This window comes from Homo sapiens, chromosome 2 (assembly GCF_000001405.40).
Source record: "Homo sapiens chromosome 2, GRCh38.p14 Primary Assembly".
In the NCBI taxonomy this organism is placed as follows: domain Eukaryota; kingdom Metazoa; phylum Chordata; class Mammalia; order Primates; family Hominidae; genus Homo; species Homo sapiens.
Genome location: NC_000002.12, coordinates 134,990,819 through 135,010,914, shown reverse-complemented (window position 1 = coordinate 135,010,914; position 20,096 = coordinate 134,990,819). Strand labels below are relative to the sequence as shown.

The window sequence follows — 20,096 nt, the reverse complement described above, 5'->3', positions numbered from 1 at the left end:
TCATGTCTGTGATCTCGGCACTTGGGGAGGCTGAAGTGGGAAGATCCCTTGAGTCCAGGCATTCGAGACACCCCTGGGCAACATAATAAGACTTTGTCTCTACAAAAAAATTAAAAAATTAGCTGGTTATGGGGGCGTGCCTCTGTAGTTCCAGTTACTTCCTGGAGGCTGAGGTGGGAGAACCACTTGAACACAGGAGTTTGAGGCTGCAGTGAACTATAATTGTGCTGCTGCATTCCAGCCTCGGCGACAGAGTGAGCTCCCATGTCTCTAAAATATAAAAATAAAAAAACTTTAATCACGTCTGATTTCCATCGTGCCTTTACATTCTGTATGTTTGGTATGCTGTTGTCTGCAGGCTAGAATGCGATGCTCTATTTCTTATCCATCTATCAGCTCCCGTGGTGTTGTCAATGGTTTATGAAATCCATCTATGTTTGGGACTTGCTATTCTGATGTTTTCTCTCTTTTACTCACTCCTAGATGACACTATTTCAATTCTCCTCCTTGTGGCACCCAAGCACATCTTAAAGTCATTGCTGGTTAGATTTATAAAATAAGTTAGAAAATTCTGAGCTGTTTCTGTTTGAGTCTTCACTTCCGTCATCACCTTCAAAGTAGATCTTACTCCCTACATCCTTTTTGATTGTGATACTTATGGTTTTTCAGTTTGTTCCAGGGTTTAAATTTTTGTCAGGTACTTATAGGGATCACACATCTTTTATTATTATTTTTTCTATGCAAAACTTATCAATTAGGTTTGAGTATCCTTTCCCTTTATTTTGCTCATTAATTCTTTTTTTTTTTCTGGTTCTTGTTGAAATTCATTGTTTCAAACTTTTCATGCTAACAAGATCACTGAGTGGTCACAACCTCTGGACCCAGATTTCACAGTCTGGGTGTAAATTCTGGCTCTGCCACTGGCTAGCTGTGTGACCTCGTGTAAGCTACTTAACTTTTCTGGGCCTCAGGTACAAAATGAAGATAATAGATCCTAACTTTAGAGTTGTGAGGATTAAATTAGTTAACCCATTTATGCTTAGTGTTCCATTATTGGAACGGTGAGCTTGTGGGGGTTATTTATATCCCACTGCTCAAGGTCATTGCCAAGGTCTGATTTTTCACACAAAAAAATTTGCAACCTCCGAGATAAATGGGTTAATATGTGTAACGCATATAGAACAGTGTCTGGTACTATATATGTAAATGCTAGTCATCATTATGGATTTTGTAGGTGGGTATGACCACACTGCCGGCTTCCAACTTTTCCTACAGGACCAACTGACAAATGAACTGAGTAGCTGAGATTGACCACAGCCCAGTAATCAACATGGAAACTTGATGTGAGAACCTGCTGTATGACTAACACTTCCAAATGAAGGCTGCTGTTTTCTCAAAGCTCAGCATAAAAATTTCACTGAATCACTGTAATTAAATGAAATGGTAGAAATGTGTTTTGAGGTCTCTTAGAGTGTTCTAGACTAAGGATCTACACAAAAACTATATATAATACTAAAAAAGAAAAATTCAAATGACCCATAAGCATCTAAAACTATCTCCAACTTTTCTATTAATCAAAGTATGAACATTCAAACAATAATAAGAAGACCAATTCCATCTATTACATTAAATATAATAAAATGAAAAGTCGGCCAGACGTGGTGGCAGGTGCCTGTAATCCCAGCTCTTTGGGAGGCAGAGGGAGGTGGATTACTTGAGATCAGGAGATCGAGACCAGCCTGGTAAACATATTGAAACGCCATCTCTACTAAAAATACAAAAAAAAAAAAAAAAAATTAGCCAGGCATGGTGGTGGGCACCTGTAACCCCAGCTACTTGGGAGGCTAAGGCAGGAGAATCGCTTGAACCTGGAAGGTGGAGTTTGCAGTGAGCCGAGATTGCACCACAGCACTCCAGCCTGGGCAACAGAGCAAGACTCTGTCTCAAAAAATAAAAAATAAAATGAAAAGGGGCAGGGCATGGTGGTACATACTTATAGTTCCAGCTACTCAGGAGGCTGAGGTGGGAGGATCACCTGAGCCCAGGAGTTCAAGGCTGCAGTGAGCCATGATAGTGCCACTGCATTCCAGCCTGTGTGCCAGAGTGAGACACTGCCTCAAAATAATAACAATAATCATATAAACACCTGTGAAAAGAAGGGAAAACAATAATAATTAATTAATTAATTAAATGAAAAGGAATGATGATAAGGGAGAAGATATGATATAGCACATTCATGCACTGCTGGTGGATTATAAATAGGGATAAACTTTACTTTTAAGGCAATGTGTGTACAAAAAAACAACTTTTTCATAGTATTTGGGTCAATAATTCCATATCTAGGGATCTACTCTAAAGAAATAATGCAAAATTGGGGTATTAGTTGCAAATATTTAATAATACTATGTGTAAGAGTGAAGAATTTTAAATTACCTACTAAGCATCATGGGAGTTACATTGTAAGACTAACGGGGCTTATTAAAGAAGTACTATTGGCTGAGCGTGGTGGCTCACGCCTGTAATCCCAGCACTTTGGGAGGCCGAGGCAGGCAGATCACGAGGTCAGAAGTTTGAGACCAGCCTGGCCAGCATGGTGAAACCTCGTCTCTACTAAAAATACAAAAATAAGGCGGGCATGGTGGCGGGTGCCTGTAGTCTCAGCTACTCGAGAGGTTGAGACAGGAGAATCTCTTGAACCCGGGAGGTGGAGGTTGCAGTGAGCTGAGGTCGCACCACTGCACTCCAGCCTGGGCGACAGAGCAAGACTCCATCTCAAAAAAAAAAAAGAAGTACTGTTATGACCCTCTGATATTTGTTGAAGGAAAGAAATTTTAAATTCCATTAAAATTAAAATGACACTTACTTAGTAAATTGCTTATGAATTTACACTTAAGTGAAAAAGCCAGATACAAAAATTATGTGATGCAACTATATTTTTAAATACTTAAGAGAAACACAAAGAAAATATGATTCCTGTGTTAACAGTGTTTGCTCTTTGGTTGTCAGGTTATAGGTGATTTTTTAAATTTTGCTTTAAAAAATACTTTTTTGTATTTTTGTATGTTCTAGGAAGAATAAATCCCCCTTTGTGATTTGATAGGAAGGAGGAGGAATTTGCCAGATAATGGTAGAATTTTTGAAATACAGAGAAGGTTAAGCAGTGAAATTGACAACAGCCTAGGAGCTGAGTGAACCCATCCGCCATTGACAACCAGGATAGTCTGAGGTAGGGCACCCAACTTTTGCCAGGAGATAGAAAACGCTTTAGAAAGTATTAATAAGGGTAGTGGGGAGTAGGGAGGAAGGGGGATGGTTAATGGGTACAAAAAAAAATAGCTAGAAAGAATGAATAATCAACCCAATGAGAGAACAAAAAGAAAAAAAAAGGAAAAGAAAGAGTAAGAACTAGTACTGATAGCACAACAGGGTGACTATAGTAATAATTTAATTGTACGTTTAAAAATAACTAAAAGTATAATTGAATCATTTGTAACACAAAGGATAAATGCTTGATGTGATGAATACTCCATTTACCCTGATGTCATTATTATGCATTGCATGCCTATATCAAAATATCTCCTGTATCCCATAAATATATATACCTATGTACCCATAAAAATTAAAAAACAATGTTTAAGTATAAACTGCTGAATAAAAGTAAGGTATGACAACTAAGTTATTATGATTGAATACCTAAAATATTTTTAATGACTGTATAAATGGAGGGTTTTACTTCTGGTTTTTTTTTTTGAGACAGGGTCTCACTCAGTTGCCCAGGCTGGAGTGCAGTGGTGCAATCATGGCTCACTGCAGCCTCAACCTCCTATGGCTCAAATGATCCTCGCACCTCAGCCTCCTGAGTAGTTGGGACTACAGGCACGTGCCACCATGCCTGGCTAATTTTTGTATTTTTTGTAGAGATGGGGCTTCACCATGTTGTCCAGGCTGGCCTCAAGCAATCCACCCATCTCGGCCTCCCAAAGTGCTAGGATTATAGGTGTGACTCACCATGCCTGGCCAGGTTTTACTTTTATTTCCTTTTTCTTTTCTTCTTCTTTTCTTTTTTCTCTCTCTCTCTTTCTCTCTCTCTTTTCTTTTCTTTCTTTTGACAGGGTCTCACTCTGTCACCCAGGCTGGAGTGCAGTGGCGTGACCCTAGCTCACCATAGCCTTGACCTCCCGGGTTCAAGCCATCCTCCTGCCTCAGCCTGCCAAGTAGCTGGGACAACAGGGGTGTGCCATCACGTCCAGCTAATTTTTGTATTTTCAGTAGAGACAGGGTTTTGCCATGTTGCCCAGGCTGGTCTCGAACTCCTGAGCTCAAGTGATCCACCCGCCTCAGCCTCCCAAAGTGCTGGGATTACAGGAGTGAACCACCATGCCTGGCCAACTTTTATTATTTGCTACGACAATTAAAATGAACAAGGAGAGAAAAGCAAGAAATTTCCTAGCTCTCTTGGGAATTAATAAATGAGCTATCAGAGAATTTTTGTGACTCGCCACTTCTCTGACATTTCAGATGACAGGCTTGAGCACTTAGGGCAAAGACTTATTGTCCATCAGTCCCCTTAAATAGGTAGTCCACCTAGATCATAGAAACCAGACAGATAGTTGTAACATTCGGGTTGTGATGGGATGTTTTAACTATTACTTGGATCTATCATGGTTCTAGAAATTTAAAGGCACAAAATCATCAGCTATAACTTCGAATGAAGGAAACTATCAAAAACAATGAATTCTACTAAGAAAACATTTCTTCTTTAAAATGTTTGGAGTACTTTTTGTAAATCAAGTTGGTTTTCAACTATAATGATTATTTTCTAGAGAGTGAAAAGGAAGTTTAAGAGGTTATGCACCATGATTTAGATCAGAACGCCGTCATAGGGAAGACTTTAATCAGCTTTGCTGCCTCCTTTCAGTCTAGGGTTATATCTGTAGCTTCCACAGGGGCAGGGATTTCCATTCTTGCCATATGTAAATGATGCCCCAGGGAGGCATTATGGAAAAGATCATGCTCCTTTGGGGTTGTTCACTGTGACTGTGGCCAAAGGATTCTTTCCAGTTACCTACCCAGATGGAATTTGGGGCAGCTTAGCAGCCTGGGCACTGAGATGATAAAGTATAAAATACTGAGTTTCTATGTGTCGATGTGATTTCAGCTTTGCTCCTCATTTTTGATTATGCAATTAATCACAACCATGACTGTCTGAGCCTAGTGCTCCAAGGGCAGATACTTTCTTATTATTTTAGTCCTAAATACTTTATCCAATTTAAAAGGAATCCATGGTGTAAATCTTTAGCCCAGAAAAATCAACATTCACTCTGCCAACAAACTGGTACATCGAATAACTAATAACTGAGTTTTGAATTTTATGATATTGCAGGAGTTCGACCAAGATGGTGACTGCAGTCATTCCACACTGGTTAATGAAGAAGAAGATCCCAGTGGTGGTAGACAGGACTGGCAACCCAGGACAGAAGGTACTGGGCTTTACTCCTTGATGTGTTTACAAAGATAACATTATCATATGGGCTTCTCTCCAATTTCAGAAGGGCTTATTGTAGAAGTTTGAACAACATACACTGGAGCCTATCAGAGGGTAGAGGGAGTGGAGGAGGGAGAGGATCAGGAAAAATAATTAATGGGTACTAGGCTTAATACCTGGGTGATAAAATAATTTGTACAACAAACCCCATGATACATGTTTACCTATGGAACAAACCTGCACTTGTACCCCTGAGCTTAACTCTTGCAATAAAAGTTAAAAAAATTATAATAAATAAGTTTGAAAACACAGAAAAAGCCCAAAGGAGAAGAAAAACCACTCACAATACTACCTTTTGGTCCATATCTGAATCAGTGGGTCTAGGCAGCTTGACTGGCCAGAATAGGCAAATGCTCTCTGGCTCTTTTATTCCACCTCACTCCAGCTCAGCCGACCCATTCCCTGTCCATTTCTTTTTGTCTGATAACATCCTTTCCCCAATTTCTTCCTCTCAGAATCTTCCAGCGGCTTCAGTGATCGGTTCCCTTCCGGAACCACACGTGTCTCCATGAGCCGTTGTCCCTGAGGGGAAGGTGGGGGAGTGTACGAGACCTGAAAGTCCCCAAGTCTCGGTCTTTTATTTACAAGGCCATAAGTCTGGAATCTTCCAGAACACCACCCATTTCAAACATGTTATCCTGTCACACCGTAAGTGCCCTTGCACTTAACAGACCACAAGGTATTTGCAGATTCTCGCCTCAGAGCATAGTTGCCACGGCTATCCCATTTGTCTGTCATCTATTCATCCATAACCTTCTTAAAGTAAATGTTTATTTGAACTGCTGCAATTTCTCCCGGGCAATCTTCTGGCTTCTATTTCTAGCACTCCAGGGAAGCCGCCCTCTTTGATGCCCGTGTTTCTCATCCCTTCGCACCTCTCAGAAGGCTGCAGCTCTCCCGAGTAGCGTCTCCTCCGGGAGGTGGTGCGATGCTGCCCTCTCCTGGGCAGCCGCCTGCCTTTCTCACGCCCACTGGGAATCTTCCCTCCCCAGGCTGAGGGCCGAGAGTAATTTAGTAACCATTAAAATTATGAAAACCATTAAGCCTGAAAGAGCTAACAGAAAGAAAATAAACCCCGAAACCCTTCAGAACGGTCCTTGCAGTCCTCCTTCGACTTTCATAGACTTCAAAGCCAAGCTCTTAGAAGCCTAATGGTGTCCCAAGCACCTTCCAGGAGGTTAAATATTTCATTTATTCTGCTCCATATGGAGATAACTCACCATTTGGGATGTTAGTCATTCTTTTAAACTTGATTTGCAATATTTTCAGTTTTCATATGGGAGCCATAATACTTATGAGGCATCTCCACTAAGTTATTTCAGTTTTAAGCTTTTAACAACTTGAGTTACACATTTGGAAGAAGCAATTCTCTTCCTGATAAAATTGCATCTCACAGTTGATAGAGACTTCAGTTGAGCTAGCTACTCTTTCTAATCAGAAATTCTGAAATAAAAGTGTTTTAGATATTATTGTCCATTATATTCATTTTAAATATCGGTTTAAATCTCTTTAAATGGACCGGGCACTGTGGCTCACGCCTGTAATCCCAGCACTTTGGGAGGCCAAGGTGGGCGGATCACCTGAGGTCAGGAGTTCAAGACCAGCCTGGACAACATGGTGAAACCCCGTCTCTACTAAAAATACAAAATTAGCCGGGTGTGGTGGTGCGCACCTGTAATCCCAGCTACTCGGGAGGCTGAGGCAGAAGAATCGTTTGAACCCGGGAGGCGGAGGTTGCAGTGAGCTGAGATTGTACCATTGCACTCCAACCTGGGTGACAGAGTGAGGCTCCGTCTCAAAACAAACAAACAAACAAACAAACAAACACTATTTTCTCAGAACATAACAGACACAAATCTTATAGACTAGAAATTGAGCCTACAAATTTACTGTTTTCATGAGTGAACAAGAGAGCCTATTCCCTAAAACTAATGGGCTTAAAAATATTTTAATTCAGTATAAATTCATCAGGATTTGTAGTTGCAGGTATACAAGAACCTACTCTTGGTTGGGTTAAAAAGGAAGGGAATTTTGAAAGATATTAGGAAGTTCATATACCATTGAAAAACCAGAGGAGAGGAACTTTCTTAGTCCACTCATGCTGCCAAAACAAAATACCATAGACTGGGGGGCTTAAATAGCAGACATTTATTTTCTCACAGTTCTTAAGAATGGGAAGTCCAAGATCAAGATTCTAGCAGGGATGGGTTTCTGGTGAGGGCTCTCTTCCTGGTTGCAGATGGCTGGTCTGTCCCCACGTGGTCTTTCCTCTGTGCACACAGAGGCAGAGCACAAGTGAGTGAGCTCTCTTCTTAGAAGGACACAAATCCAGCTGGATCGGGGCCCCACCCTTGACACCTCATGTAACCTTCGTTTCTTCCTTAGAGGCCCCATCTCCAAATAAGCCACACTTGGGGGTTAGGGCTTCAACATATTAATGTGCGGTGGGGGACACAAACATTCAGAACATCCAGTCCATAACAGGAAGGCCCCAGGTTGGATTGTCAGGAAGGATTCCCATAACTGCATTTCAAAACTGGCTGCTACTGACCCTCAAATCATGCCACGTCTGCCATAACCAGAGAGCCGCTCCCACTATCAATGTAAGAACCCCCTCCCTCTGCTGGTACCCACATCAGCACACAGCATGCCTGCACCTTATCTTTTTTCATGTAACTCACATGCATCAGTCTCTGAAGTAAGCTTTCTGAATCTAGCAGCGCAGGAAGCCGGAAATACAGCTGTTTTTTTTTTTTAAAGTCTGTGTTGAGCTTCACAATTTAGGAAATCATCAAAATGTGAAGATGGCATCAAAATATTTTGAACCTCCATGCTCGCAATCCAGACAGATATGCACATCCATTGAAATAGAACAAGGACCTCATTGATATATGCTCCTATTATGTACCCACGGAAATTTAACAAATAAAATAAAATAAAATAAAATAAAATAAGGAGACCAAACAGGAAAGTAAGGCTTTTCTGGAGAAAATAATTTTTCTTTATTGAAATCAGTTAAGCTGGGCCTGATTTTAAGTTTTTGTTTTAATAATGGTTTTGACACTAACAACAACAAATTAATGATCATTTTTCTGACTGGTTATGAATGTCATTTTCACCTCTTCTATAAAGAAAATATATTCGTGGCTATGTTGAAATGTTGTCTTTTAATTTCTCTCTATGGTAATATTTTCTGATAGCGTTAATTTACCCTCATTATGTGAAAAATGCACTTGCTAAGAGCAAGTGTTTTGTCTTTACCTGTGACAATGCATCCTCTTCCCTGGCCTACTGGGTAGCTTGAGAGGCCTTATCCACAGCAACGTCAGCAACTCACAGTATTCAAGAGGCAGAACAAAGAGAACATCTGTATGTTTCTAGTGGATTTCAGAATCAATATTCTGTAATCTTTTTTCCAATTTAGGACCAACAATTAGGACGGTGGCCATTAGCTCTTAACAATATCTTAAAAGGCAGGTATTTCTTACATGTGCTTGTTATATCTTTGTTTCTTGGTTTGAAAAAGAAGTCAGCTGATGAACAGACTTTGAAGCACATTACATTTGTTTGAAAACATTCTGGGTTTATTAATTCTTGACAACTGCAAAAGTACAGTTGTTCTTAAATATGGTTCATGTGAATACACTCAGTTTTCTAACTTCCACAGCAAAGAACTAAATACATTTAGCTTTTGTACCAGAACATCCTTTTCACTGACAGTTTAGTTTTTAGGAATGTATGCTGTATGTTTTTCTCACTCTAACATGTCAGCTAGGTGTTTGCACTCAAGGATAACTACAAAAATATTATGAAAGACATCCATCTTCCTTTCAAATAGGAGAACGACCTTGAGCATGTCATGCAAACTCATTGCTATCAGTTTCTTCGTCTCTAAAACGAAAGGCTTGGGTTAGGTGACCTCTAAGTTCCTTCCAGCTCAATAATTCCAAGTCTCTCATTTTTTGCTACATAGTCTGGTGATAGCCTCTTTGAAAACTTAAAAAACAATGGACTATTCCAGGGAAACTTCATTTTTAGACAAGTGTTCCATGCAATTGTATAGTATTAGAAAACATGCAATCAAGTTGTCTCCTTTGAGAAACATTAAGAAAACCAAAGCTAGCTACATTTTTATGGTAGCACAAAACATAATATTGGATAACAATGATAGTAAACACTATTATCATTTGCCTGATTGTAAACAAAACTTTTCATTTTGGAATTTTTTACTGTGTTTTTTTTTTTAATGCACTTGTTTCATTAAATGGCACAGGTATAAAAATTGAACAACAAAAATGCTTTCACTATGGTAGTTCCTATGTATTACACAAATATATCCAAAGTCCTTTAAAATAATAAAAATCTACTAATTTAGATAATGATGATAGCTATTAAGCAACTTTCCCAAGGTCACCCAGGTAGTGGCAGAAAAGGGATGTCTGATTCACACCTTAACCTTATCCTCCCTGCGATACTCCTTCCCCAGCCTTTAATTAGTGGAGCTCATACAGCCATTGCTCCTCCAGGCACAAGCAGATTGAGTGAATAAATGGCTCTGACAGATAAATGGATAGAAATGAATACCGGGGCAAGCATTGCGTCCTCCCGGAAGGACACGCCTCTCTGCTCCCACATCACCACTTGCTTCTATCACAGTGCTTATCTCACTGCATTCTTTATTTTCTTATCAGCTCTACTAGGGCCTCAGCTGCATCTTGTTTATTTCCCTGTTTTCAGCACTAAGTGCTGGGCTTGGCATATCCTTAATAAAAGTTCGTTAAATGGAAAAAAGGAATGAATGAACACACCTTAAAGAACAGGCAATGTTAGAATAGTTCACACTAGTTTTTTACATAATTTTGCTTAACATCTTATATTGTGAGCAAGCGCGTATTCTATAAGTTGGAACTTTCTGTCTTAAGGGTTATTCTGGAAATTAGTTCATGAAATGAGACAGGAGATGACCAAAATTACAAATACAAGCAAACATCTTTGGTGTTACATAAATTATCTCATTGAATGCTCACAATAGTTCTGGGAGATAGGTGTCGTTACACTTTATAGAAGGTGGTTCTGTTTTCTCCATCCTGAGGACAACATAGTTTGTTATAAAACTTTATTTTACATCTGTAAAATATTATTATATGGTTTTTTGCTCTTTAAGCAAGCATTTATTTAGGATCTATCATATCCTGAACAGGAAAGATACAAAGATGGCTAAACCTCAGCTCCTGATTAATGTCCATTTTGTAATCATTAAGAAGAGATTAGCCAAACAGAAATAAAGTACGTCTCCCGCTTTCCGCTGGAATTCATTACTTTCTTCCTTCTACTACTGTGGTATGTTTCTACAGGTGTTGAGATCACTGTAACTTTTCCAAGAGATGTCAGTCCTCCCCAAGAAATGAGCCAAGAAGACTTAAAAGAAAAGAAGTAAGGAATATTCTTTGAAGTATCAGATTTGAAATGAAGTATGAAGCAATGATAGTCATATGGCAACCTACATTATTAGTAATTGAATCCATAATAATGCTTAAAAGTAGAGGTCACAATAAATAGTATGTGGCAGAGGCCAGATCATAAACACTTTGGCTGTGTGGGCCATATGGTCTCTGTTGTGATGATTCAACTCTGCAACTGTCATTTGAATGCAGCCATAGACAATATGTAAACAAATGAGTGTGGCTGTGATCCAATTAAAGCTACAGAAAAAGGCTGAAGGCTGGATTTGGTCCCCGGGCTGTAGTTTGCTGACCCTACTGCAGGGCAGAGCTACTTAGAATGTGGTTCTGTGGTCCTGTTACTAGTCCATGATGAGGTCAGGACAGGCTGCGAGGGTGACCATTAAAAAAGTTGCAAAGCAATTTGGCAAATAACTTACGTTCATTGATCGGGTAGTGAAACAAATTGAGGCTTATTTTTTGCATGTCTTTTATTTTTCTTCCATTTTTATGGCAATTCATTTATATTTTACAAAAGTATCAGTTCACAATGACTGGAAATTTAAATGCTGGTTCTTCATCAAAAATAGTTTGAGAAACACTGGGCTAGTCAGTACCTGTGGAGATAAAAGGGTACATCCCCCAGGCCTGCCCTTGGTCTCTGATTTCTCTGTGCAAGGAAATGGTGATTGGGAAAACGAGAGTGAGCTGAAACCTAATCCATCCAAGCGATGGTACAGAGGGCTAAGGAGGCCAGGAGGAGTCAGCAGGTGGAGATGTCTTACCCTCTCAGGATTCAGCCTTTCCTTTCAGCAGCACCATTTGGAAGTAGTTCTTCAAACTTTCTAGTGATGTCAGGCTGAACTGAGGACTGGAGATCCAGAAGATGTGGCAACTGAGTTTTAAATCAAACATTTCCCTCCCCCTTTAGTCTGATAAACTCATCGCTTCAAGAATGGGCACAAGCACATGCAGTTTCTCATCCAAATGAAATAGAAACGGTGGAGCTCAGGAAAAAGAAGCTGACCATGCGGCCCTTAGTTTTGCAAAAAGAGGAAAGTTCCAGGGAGCTCTGCAATGTGAACTTGGGCTTTTTGCTACCAAGATCTTGTTTAGAACTGAACATTTCCAAGTCTGTAACCAGAGAAGATGCTCCTCATTTTCTGAAGGAGCAGCAAAGAAAATCTGAAGGTAAGTTGAACATTGAATTCCACAGTGAGTCCTTTTGGTCAACAAATATTTATGTATTGTGCCAGGCACTGTTCTAAATGCTAGAGATAAAGCAGTGAACATACCAGAAAATAACCCCAGCCCTTGTGTAATTTACATTCCTGGGGGTCATGGGGGTGCGAGACAGACAATAAACTAGTAAACAAGTAAAATGAAGGATGGCATAATGTTCCAGCAGAAAGAGCACTATATGTGCAAATGTTTATATATTTGTTCAAGGAATAGAAGGCAAATATTTTGAGAATATCTTATTGTTTAGATTATTTCATTGCTTATTTCTTTAAACATTTCAGACATTATTTTGTAAACTATACTTGATAATTTCAGTATCAATATCCTACTGATTTGCACTATGGTTGACTTTTTTCTTGAGTGTTTGAAAATCTTCATTGTGAGCTCATATTTGGTTGATGTTTATCTGTGGGAATCTTGGGGGCCCACGCTGTGGATGCTTTTGGCCAGAAGTATTGAATTTACTTCTACCAGGTCCCAGGGTCATTATGGACTTGAGTCTACGTTAGCCTTATTCCTGGATCCCCAAGTTAATGTGCAAGTCTAAGAGCCAACTTCCAACTACATTGAGCCCAAGACTCATTTGCTAGATAGCAGCACTGATGCCAGCATTTCCCCCTGCGGCAATATTGTCTTTGCTACTTGTTTACCACTGTCCTCAACCAACCAGCCAAAACCACCAGGAACAACCTTATAATCCAACAAGTTACATTCATTGATTTATCACAATGAGGGAGACTGCATGCCAGTGGAGCTGTGACACATCCTACCAAAAAAGAAAAAAAAGAATAATTATTATGGGATTTTAAGAGAAGGGTACATTTTAAGTGAAATTTAAATGAAGCAGTGCTTAAAGTTTTTTTTTTTTTGAGACGGAGTCTCGCTCTGTCACCAGGCTGGAGCACAGTGGCCCAATCTCAGCTCACCGCAACCTCTGCCTCCTGGGTTCAAGCAATTCTCATGCCTCAGCCTCCCAAGTAGCTGGGACTACAGGCGCATGCCACCACGCCCAGCTAATTTTTGTATTTTTAGTAGAGATGGGGTTTCACCATGTTGGCCAGGATGGTGTCGATCTCTTGACCTCGTGATCCTCCCACCTTGGCCTCCCACAGTGCTGGGATTACAGGTGTGAGCCACTGCGCCTGGCCTAAATTTTTTTTTGTTTTATTATGCTAAAATGTGTGTAACATAAAATTGACCATTTTAATCATTTTCAAGTGTACAGTTCAGTGGCATTTAAGTACATTCACATTGTTGTGTAACCATCACAACTATTCATCCCCAGAACATTTTCTTCTTGCAAAACTGAAACTCTGTGCCCCTTAAACAATAACTCTATATTTCCCACTCTCCCAAAGCCTCTGGTGACCACTATTCTATTTTCTGTCTCAATACGAATTTGACTATTCTAGGTCTTTTATAGAAATGGAATCATGCAATATTTGTCCTGTGTCTGGCTTGTTTCATTTGGCATAATGGTGAAGCAGTGTTTTGATGGGCTATATGTAAAATAGTTCATAAGAAATCTGGACTTGAAGTGGACCTAGACTCTTGTTCCTTGAAATTTACAAAGTTAGTTCCCAAATCTTGATAGCGTTTTTTTGTTTTTTGTTTGTTTGTTTGTTTGTTGGTTTGTTTGAGACACATTCCGGCTGTGTTGCCCAGGCTGGAGTGCAGTGGCGTGATCTTGGCTCACTGCAACCTCTGCCTCCTGGGCTCAAGCGATCCTCCCACCTCAGCCTCTTGGGTAGCTGGGACTACAGGTGCATGCCACCACGCCTGGCTAGTTTTGTTTGTTTGTTTGTTTGTTTTTTGGTACAGATGGGGTTTCACCATGTTGCCCAGGCTGTTACTGAACTCTTGGGCTAAAGTGATCCTCCCATCTTGGCCTCCCAAAGTGCTGGAATTACAGGCATGAGCCACCGTGTTCAGCTTCAACAGCCTCTTTCAGCCTCATATCTTGCCACTCTTCCTTCGCAGCATGATAAACTTTAGCACACTAAATGCCCTCTATTCCCTAAACATGCATGTGAATATTTGCACCTACTGTTCTTTCTGCTGGAGCATTATGCCATCCTTCAGGTTTTGTCTTAGAAACCCCTTCCTCTGGGAAGTCTTCCTGAACTTCCCAAGACTGGATGAGTTGCCCTTTCTTTGTTCCGCTATAGGATCCTGACCTTACCTACAACATAGCACTAATCAAGCATAATTGTCACTATTTGTTTACGTGTTCATCTTCGCCGGATTACAAAAGCAAGAATAATTCAACCTCCAAGCATTTGGCATCATACCTGGCACATAGCCATTACAAATGCACTTTTAATTAATAATAACAATAATCAGGTCCAGGGCAGCACTTTGGGAGGCCAAGATGGGCGGATCACTTGAAGTCTCAAAAAAAAAAAAAAAAAAAAAGAAATAAGAAGTACTAGCTGTGCACAGGCACACGCCTGTAACCCCAGCACTTTGGGAGGCTGAGGCAGGAGCACTGCTTGAGGCCAGGAGTTTGAGACCAGCCTGGGCAACATAGGCAGACTCCACCTCTAAAAAAAGTACATATATAAAAATAAATTTTAAAAATTAGGTGGCTGTGGTGGTGCACACCTATAGGCTCAGCTACTCGGGAGGCTGAGGTGGGAGGATTGCTTGATTCCAGGAGGCCAAGGCTGCAGTGGATGATGATTAGTCCATTGCACTCCAGCCTGGGTGACAGACCTCATCTCTTAAAAAAAAAAGTACAGCTAGTACAAGACTTTCTTCTAGTGTGTACTTTCATATTGCTAAATATCATGTTTAGAATGGTATTTATTAATTGTTCAGTTTGGGCTTCATCTATTAAGATTTATTACTTTTACATTACTTGCCTCACACACAAGCAATGCCCAATTTTCCCAATCTTTGTGTCTATTTTTTTAAAATCAATATTCAATGTCTCTGTTATTATGACTAGGTAAAATATTATTTGCAGCTGAGCTCCATAGTGTGTTGATTACATTTCCTCTCCTTTTAGACATTGTATTTATCTCAGCATTAGTAATAACCACTTCATTTCTTCATTTGCTTACTTTTTGTATATCTGTTACTAATTCATCCCATCCTGTGTATTGCACCTATAAAACAAATCTCAATACAGGTGATTAGATATCAGGCAATCTGTTGGTTCCTTTTGTTTTTGGAGACATTGCTCCTGGACCCTCCTGGCCTCTAATTTTACTCCACACCACCTGCTCTCTGGATCCACTGCCCAGCCGCCCATCTGAGATTCCCTTCGTGTCATCCTGGGAATTCCCTTGCCTCCTTGCTGTGTTGAATCCTTGTGTACTGGATATGTGGCTTAATCTTCCTTTCCTTACTTTTTTTTTTTTTTTTTGAGACAGAGTCTGACTCTGTCACCCATGCTTGGAGTGCAATGGCGCGATCTCAGCTCCCTGCAGCCTCCGTCTTCTGGGCTGAAGCCATTCTCCCTCTTCAGCCTCCTGAGTAGCTGGGACTACAGGCATGCACCACCAGGCCTAGCTACTTTAAAAAAATTTCTTTGGTAGCGATGGGGTCTTACTATATTGCCCAGGCTGGTCTTGAACTCTTGGGCTCAAGTGATTTACCCACCTCAGCTTCCCAAAGTGTTGGGATTACAGGCTTGAGCCACCTTGCCTGGCTTCCTTGCTTTACTTAATCCTCTTTTACTAGGGCATATTTCCCAGCAGCTTCTTGAGAAAGGGTACACGGAGAATATGAAAGATAGAGTTGTTTGTTGTCTCTAATTCTTCTGAGCTCTTTTCTTTCTTTCAGTTTGATCTGTTCTCTGTATGTTCATATTGGAGCATTTCCTCACATATCAGTTGAATCACATATCCTCACATATCAGTTGAATTTGTATCTAAAAGAGTTTCACTAAAAAGTTCTGTATGTTTGAGTGAGCTTGTTGAATGGGCCTCAAAGGAGCTGAATAGGTGGAGAACTGGACGATTGATAGAGGGATTCCCAAGTGTCAGCTTGTATAGATCAATGGACCTTTTCTCTCAGCTAGTTTTCCCCAGAGAGATAATCCAAACACCTGCCTGTAGGTTATGAGACTGGAGGCAACATTCTTGGCACTGAATGGGGTTCATATTTCAGTGTGTAGACTCTTCTTTGTCCTCATATTTTCACTCCAGCTCCCCATTTCTGCTCCCAGCCATACCCAGCTCCTTAGCATCTTTGTTTCAAGCCCTCCAGGGAGTAAACTTCCAGCCAACTGCCAGGAAAGGAGAAGAGTAACTCCTCATAGGGGACAGGGCAGGGAATCCAGTACTTATTCCAGCACAGACTTATGAGCACCCTCTCGTTTCAGTCTTGCCTGCATCCCTGTCTTCAGAGGTACCTTCAGTTCCCATTCCTTTCTGAAATTCTTATTTCTGGTTGGGCTGTCCCCTTGCAAGCATTGGGCAGAACACAGAAAGCTGACAACTCAATCAGTTATTATTCGTCCATATAGTTTTCTCTGTCCAAAATGTTGATATTGCTCATCTGTTGTTTTATCATTTGGGTGTTTTTATTTTTTGTCCTTATTTACATGTTTTTTAATTCTTTTACTGTGATTTTAGTGTGATTTGTGGAGGGATTGGAGAAAAGCTTGTACATTCAATCTGCCATTTTTAATTGGAACTCTGTACTTATTTTATTTTATTTACTTTTTTGGAGATAGGGTCTCGCTCTGTTGCCCATGCTGGAGTGCAGTGGTGCAAACATGGCTCGCTGCAGCCTCAATATTCCAGGCTTAAGTGATCCTCCACCACAGCCTCCTGAGTAGCTGGGAGTACAGGTGCATGGCACCACACCTGGCTACTTTTAACATTTTTTGTAGAGATGGGGTCTCGCTATGTTGCTCAGAGTGGTCTCTACACATTTTTAAAAGGCTTTGACACATGTTACCAAATTACCTACCAGAAAGATCTTGCCTCTACATTCCCACCAAAAGTCTTTACCCCACATAATTCCTGACCAATACTGGATAATACATATTCAAATATTTATAAGAATACTTGAAAGCGTTTTTTTAAAAAATTCAGGATGCTATCCATTATGTACCCAACTATAAATTATATTCAGTTGTATTTCTAGATTAACTTCTAACATCTTTTCAATAGAAAACCTCAACCTCTAGAATGCAACCTCTGGGAGCAAAGAGCAAAGATCTGTCTTTCCTGCCCACAACTATAAATTGCCATCTTCTGGGACAGTGTTGGCCACTCAGCAGGCACTCAGTAAATAATTGTTGAGTAAATGCATTAAGAATGAAGGGGAGGTGCCATGGCCAGCTGTGTCCAAGGGGAATGCCTGTGCCCCCTCCTGTTGCCTGTTGGGGTCCTCTTCTTAGGTGACTTGTTTTTCACCTGGGATTGGCTTTTCTACTGTGTTAAATCTTAGAAGTCTTTTTCTCTCCGTGTGAAACTTCAGAATGACAGCCTGAGGCTGAAATGGACCTACAGACATTTGTTTGACCCTCACAACATTGAAAAACAAGGGAGGAGAGGCCAGGCCCAGTGGCTCACACCTGGAATCCCAGAACTTTGGGAAGCCAAGAAGGGAGGATTGTTTGAGCCTAGGAGTTTGAGACCAGCCTGGGCAATACAGTAAGACCCTGTCTATACAAAAAATTAAAAATATAAAAATTTTAAATAAATAAGCAAGGGTGGGGGAAGGAGATTTCACATAAAACCTGCAGCTTGGGTTGGGCGCGGTGGCTCACACCTGTAATCCCAGCACTTTGGGAGGCCGAGGCCGGTGGATCACGAGGTCAAGTGTTCGAGACCAGCCTAGCCAACATAGTGAAACCCCGTGTCTACTAAAAAATAAAAAATACACAAAAAATTAGCCGGGCATGATGGCAGGTGCCTGTAATCCCAGCTTCTCGGGAGGCTGAGGCAGGAGAATTGCTTGAACCCAGGAGGTGGAGGTTGCAGCGAGCTGAGATCATGCCACTATACTCCAGCCTGGGCGACAGAGCGAGACCCTGTCTCAAAAAAAAAAAATCTGCAGCTCTCTGGCTTCTTTTGGAAGATGTAGCAGGGCTGGACTATCTATCTGGGTTGGATAACATCACTGCGAGCTGGGTAATGATGCCCCTTTAGTTGGGCATATGATCTCGATTTACTGCTGTGTCTTCCTGTCCCACATCATCCATTTCTGTGAACTGTTTTGACCCTGGAGACACTGGAGCTTTTGGCTTCAGCTTTAGAAAGTCCAAACTATGCAGAAGTGGTGGTGGTGGTGGTTCATGGGGTTTTGGGGATCATTCTGACTTTTTGGTAAGAAGAGAACAACTTGTAAGTTTTATACTACCTAGTAAGTCCCATCTCGTTCCCTAGGTGAGTCTTCCTCACACTCACCTTTCAGAGTTTATGGTCGATCTAGTTTAAACAACTGTTGGGAGACACTTATACAAGAATATTTTCACATTTCTGCACAGTTCAGGCTTTCTAAGCAAAAAACACTAGGAAACTAAGTTAAAAGATGACTGAATGTCAGAAACGCCTCCGAAGTTAGTGTATTGCTCCAGAGAAATTTAGAGGCTGATTTTCCCAAAAGCTGTTTGCTTATATTCTAGGGTAATAAAACATAGAGTCATCTTTCTCCTGGAGGCATTTGCTTACAATTCATAGTAAAGTGCTCTCTCCTTCTCTGGAGGGAAAGATGGGCTAAAGTGCCACCACCCAATATACCACCTGAGTCTCATCATTCCAGAGCTCCCTCCTGTGATGCAGCTCTGCCAGCTGTGCAGGTCAACACCCGGCTCTCATCACGTTGCCCTGTGAGGAACTGGGTTGTGGGGAACTGGCATTACAATGTTCTGTGAGTGATAAATGGTCTGCTCTCTGGTCCAGAGATCTCAGGTTTTCTGTCAGAATAGAGATATAAATATAAAACAGCAACCCCTGCTAGTGGCAGCAGCCTGAAGTTTTGTGTGATGATTCCACCTCTGTGTGAATTCCACAGGGGAAACCTCCAATTTCTACAACTTTTCCTCAGACCCCTTAGCATCTGTATTACTCCATCCCCAGACTCTGGCTTGAGACTGTTTTCTTTCTACTACTAAGAATATCCAGTTATTGTTTTTCTTGTTGTAGAGTTTTCGACCTCTCATATGAAGTACAGTGGCCGAAGCATCAAGGTAAGATTAGTGCTAGCATTTTTGACTTGAGAATTAAAACCAAACAACTCTATTCACTAATTTAGAACCAAATCCTCAGCAATTACACTTGACCCTTCAACAATGCAGGGGGTAGGGTCACTGATGTCCCCAACACAGTCAAAAATCCACACATAAGCTTTGATTCCCCCAAAACTTAGCTACTAATAGCCTACCGGTTGTTTTGTTTTGTTTTGTTTTGTTTTGTTTTGTTTTTTGAGACAGAGTCTCACTCTGTCACCCAGGCTAGAGTGCAGTGGTGCAATCTCGGCTCACTGCAAGCTCCGCCTCCCGGGTTCACGCCATTCTCCTGCCTCAGCCTCCCGAGTAGCTGGGACTACACGCACCCGCCACCACGCCCGGCTAATTTTTTGTATTTTTAGTAGAGACGGGGTTTCTCCATGTTAGCCAGGATGGTCTCGATCTCCTGACCTCGTGATCCGCCCGCCTCGGCCTCCCAAAGTGCTGGGTGTTCTGTTTTGTTTTGTTTAGAGACAGGGTCTCGCTATGTTGGCCACGTTGGTCTTGAACTCCTGGCCTCAAGCAATACTCCCCCTTAGCCTCCCAAAGTGCTAGGGTTACAGATGTTAGCCACCGCACATGGCTGCAGTAGCCTACTGTTGACCAGAGCCTTATAGATAACATAAACAGTTGATTAACACACACATTTTGTGTTATATGTATTATATGCTGTATTCTT

General features: G+C 41.0%; 1 protein-coding gene across 15 annotated transcripts in view; it reads left to right on the top strand.

Moving 5' to 3' along the window:
• Positions 1 to 20,096, top strand: part of MAP3K19 (mitogen-activated protein kinase kinase kinase 19) — an 82,957-nt gene that overhangs the window by 36,533 nt on the left and 26,328 nt on the right. For 12 of the 15 annotated variants that reach the window (XM_017005005.3, XM_017005004.3, NM_025052.5 and 9 more), the window contains 4 exons: positions 5,384 to 5,480; positions 10,900 to 10,978; positions 11,918 to 12,177; positions 19,335 to 19,378. In XM_017005005.3, coding sequence (XP_016860494.1) covers positions 5,384 to 5,480; positions 10,900 to 10,978; positions 11,918 to 12,177; positions 19,335 to 19,378 — 480 coding nt within the window. Of the gene's footprint in view, positions 1 to 1,275; positions 1,344 to 3,069; positions 3,227 to 5,383; positions 5,481 to 10,899; positions 10,979 to 11,917; positions 12,178 to 19,334; positions 19,379 to 20,096 lie in introns of all 15 variants that reach the window. The other 3 variants (XM_011511896.4, XM_011511897.4, NM_001018044.3) reach the window with 3 other exon arrangements.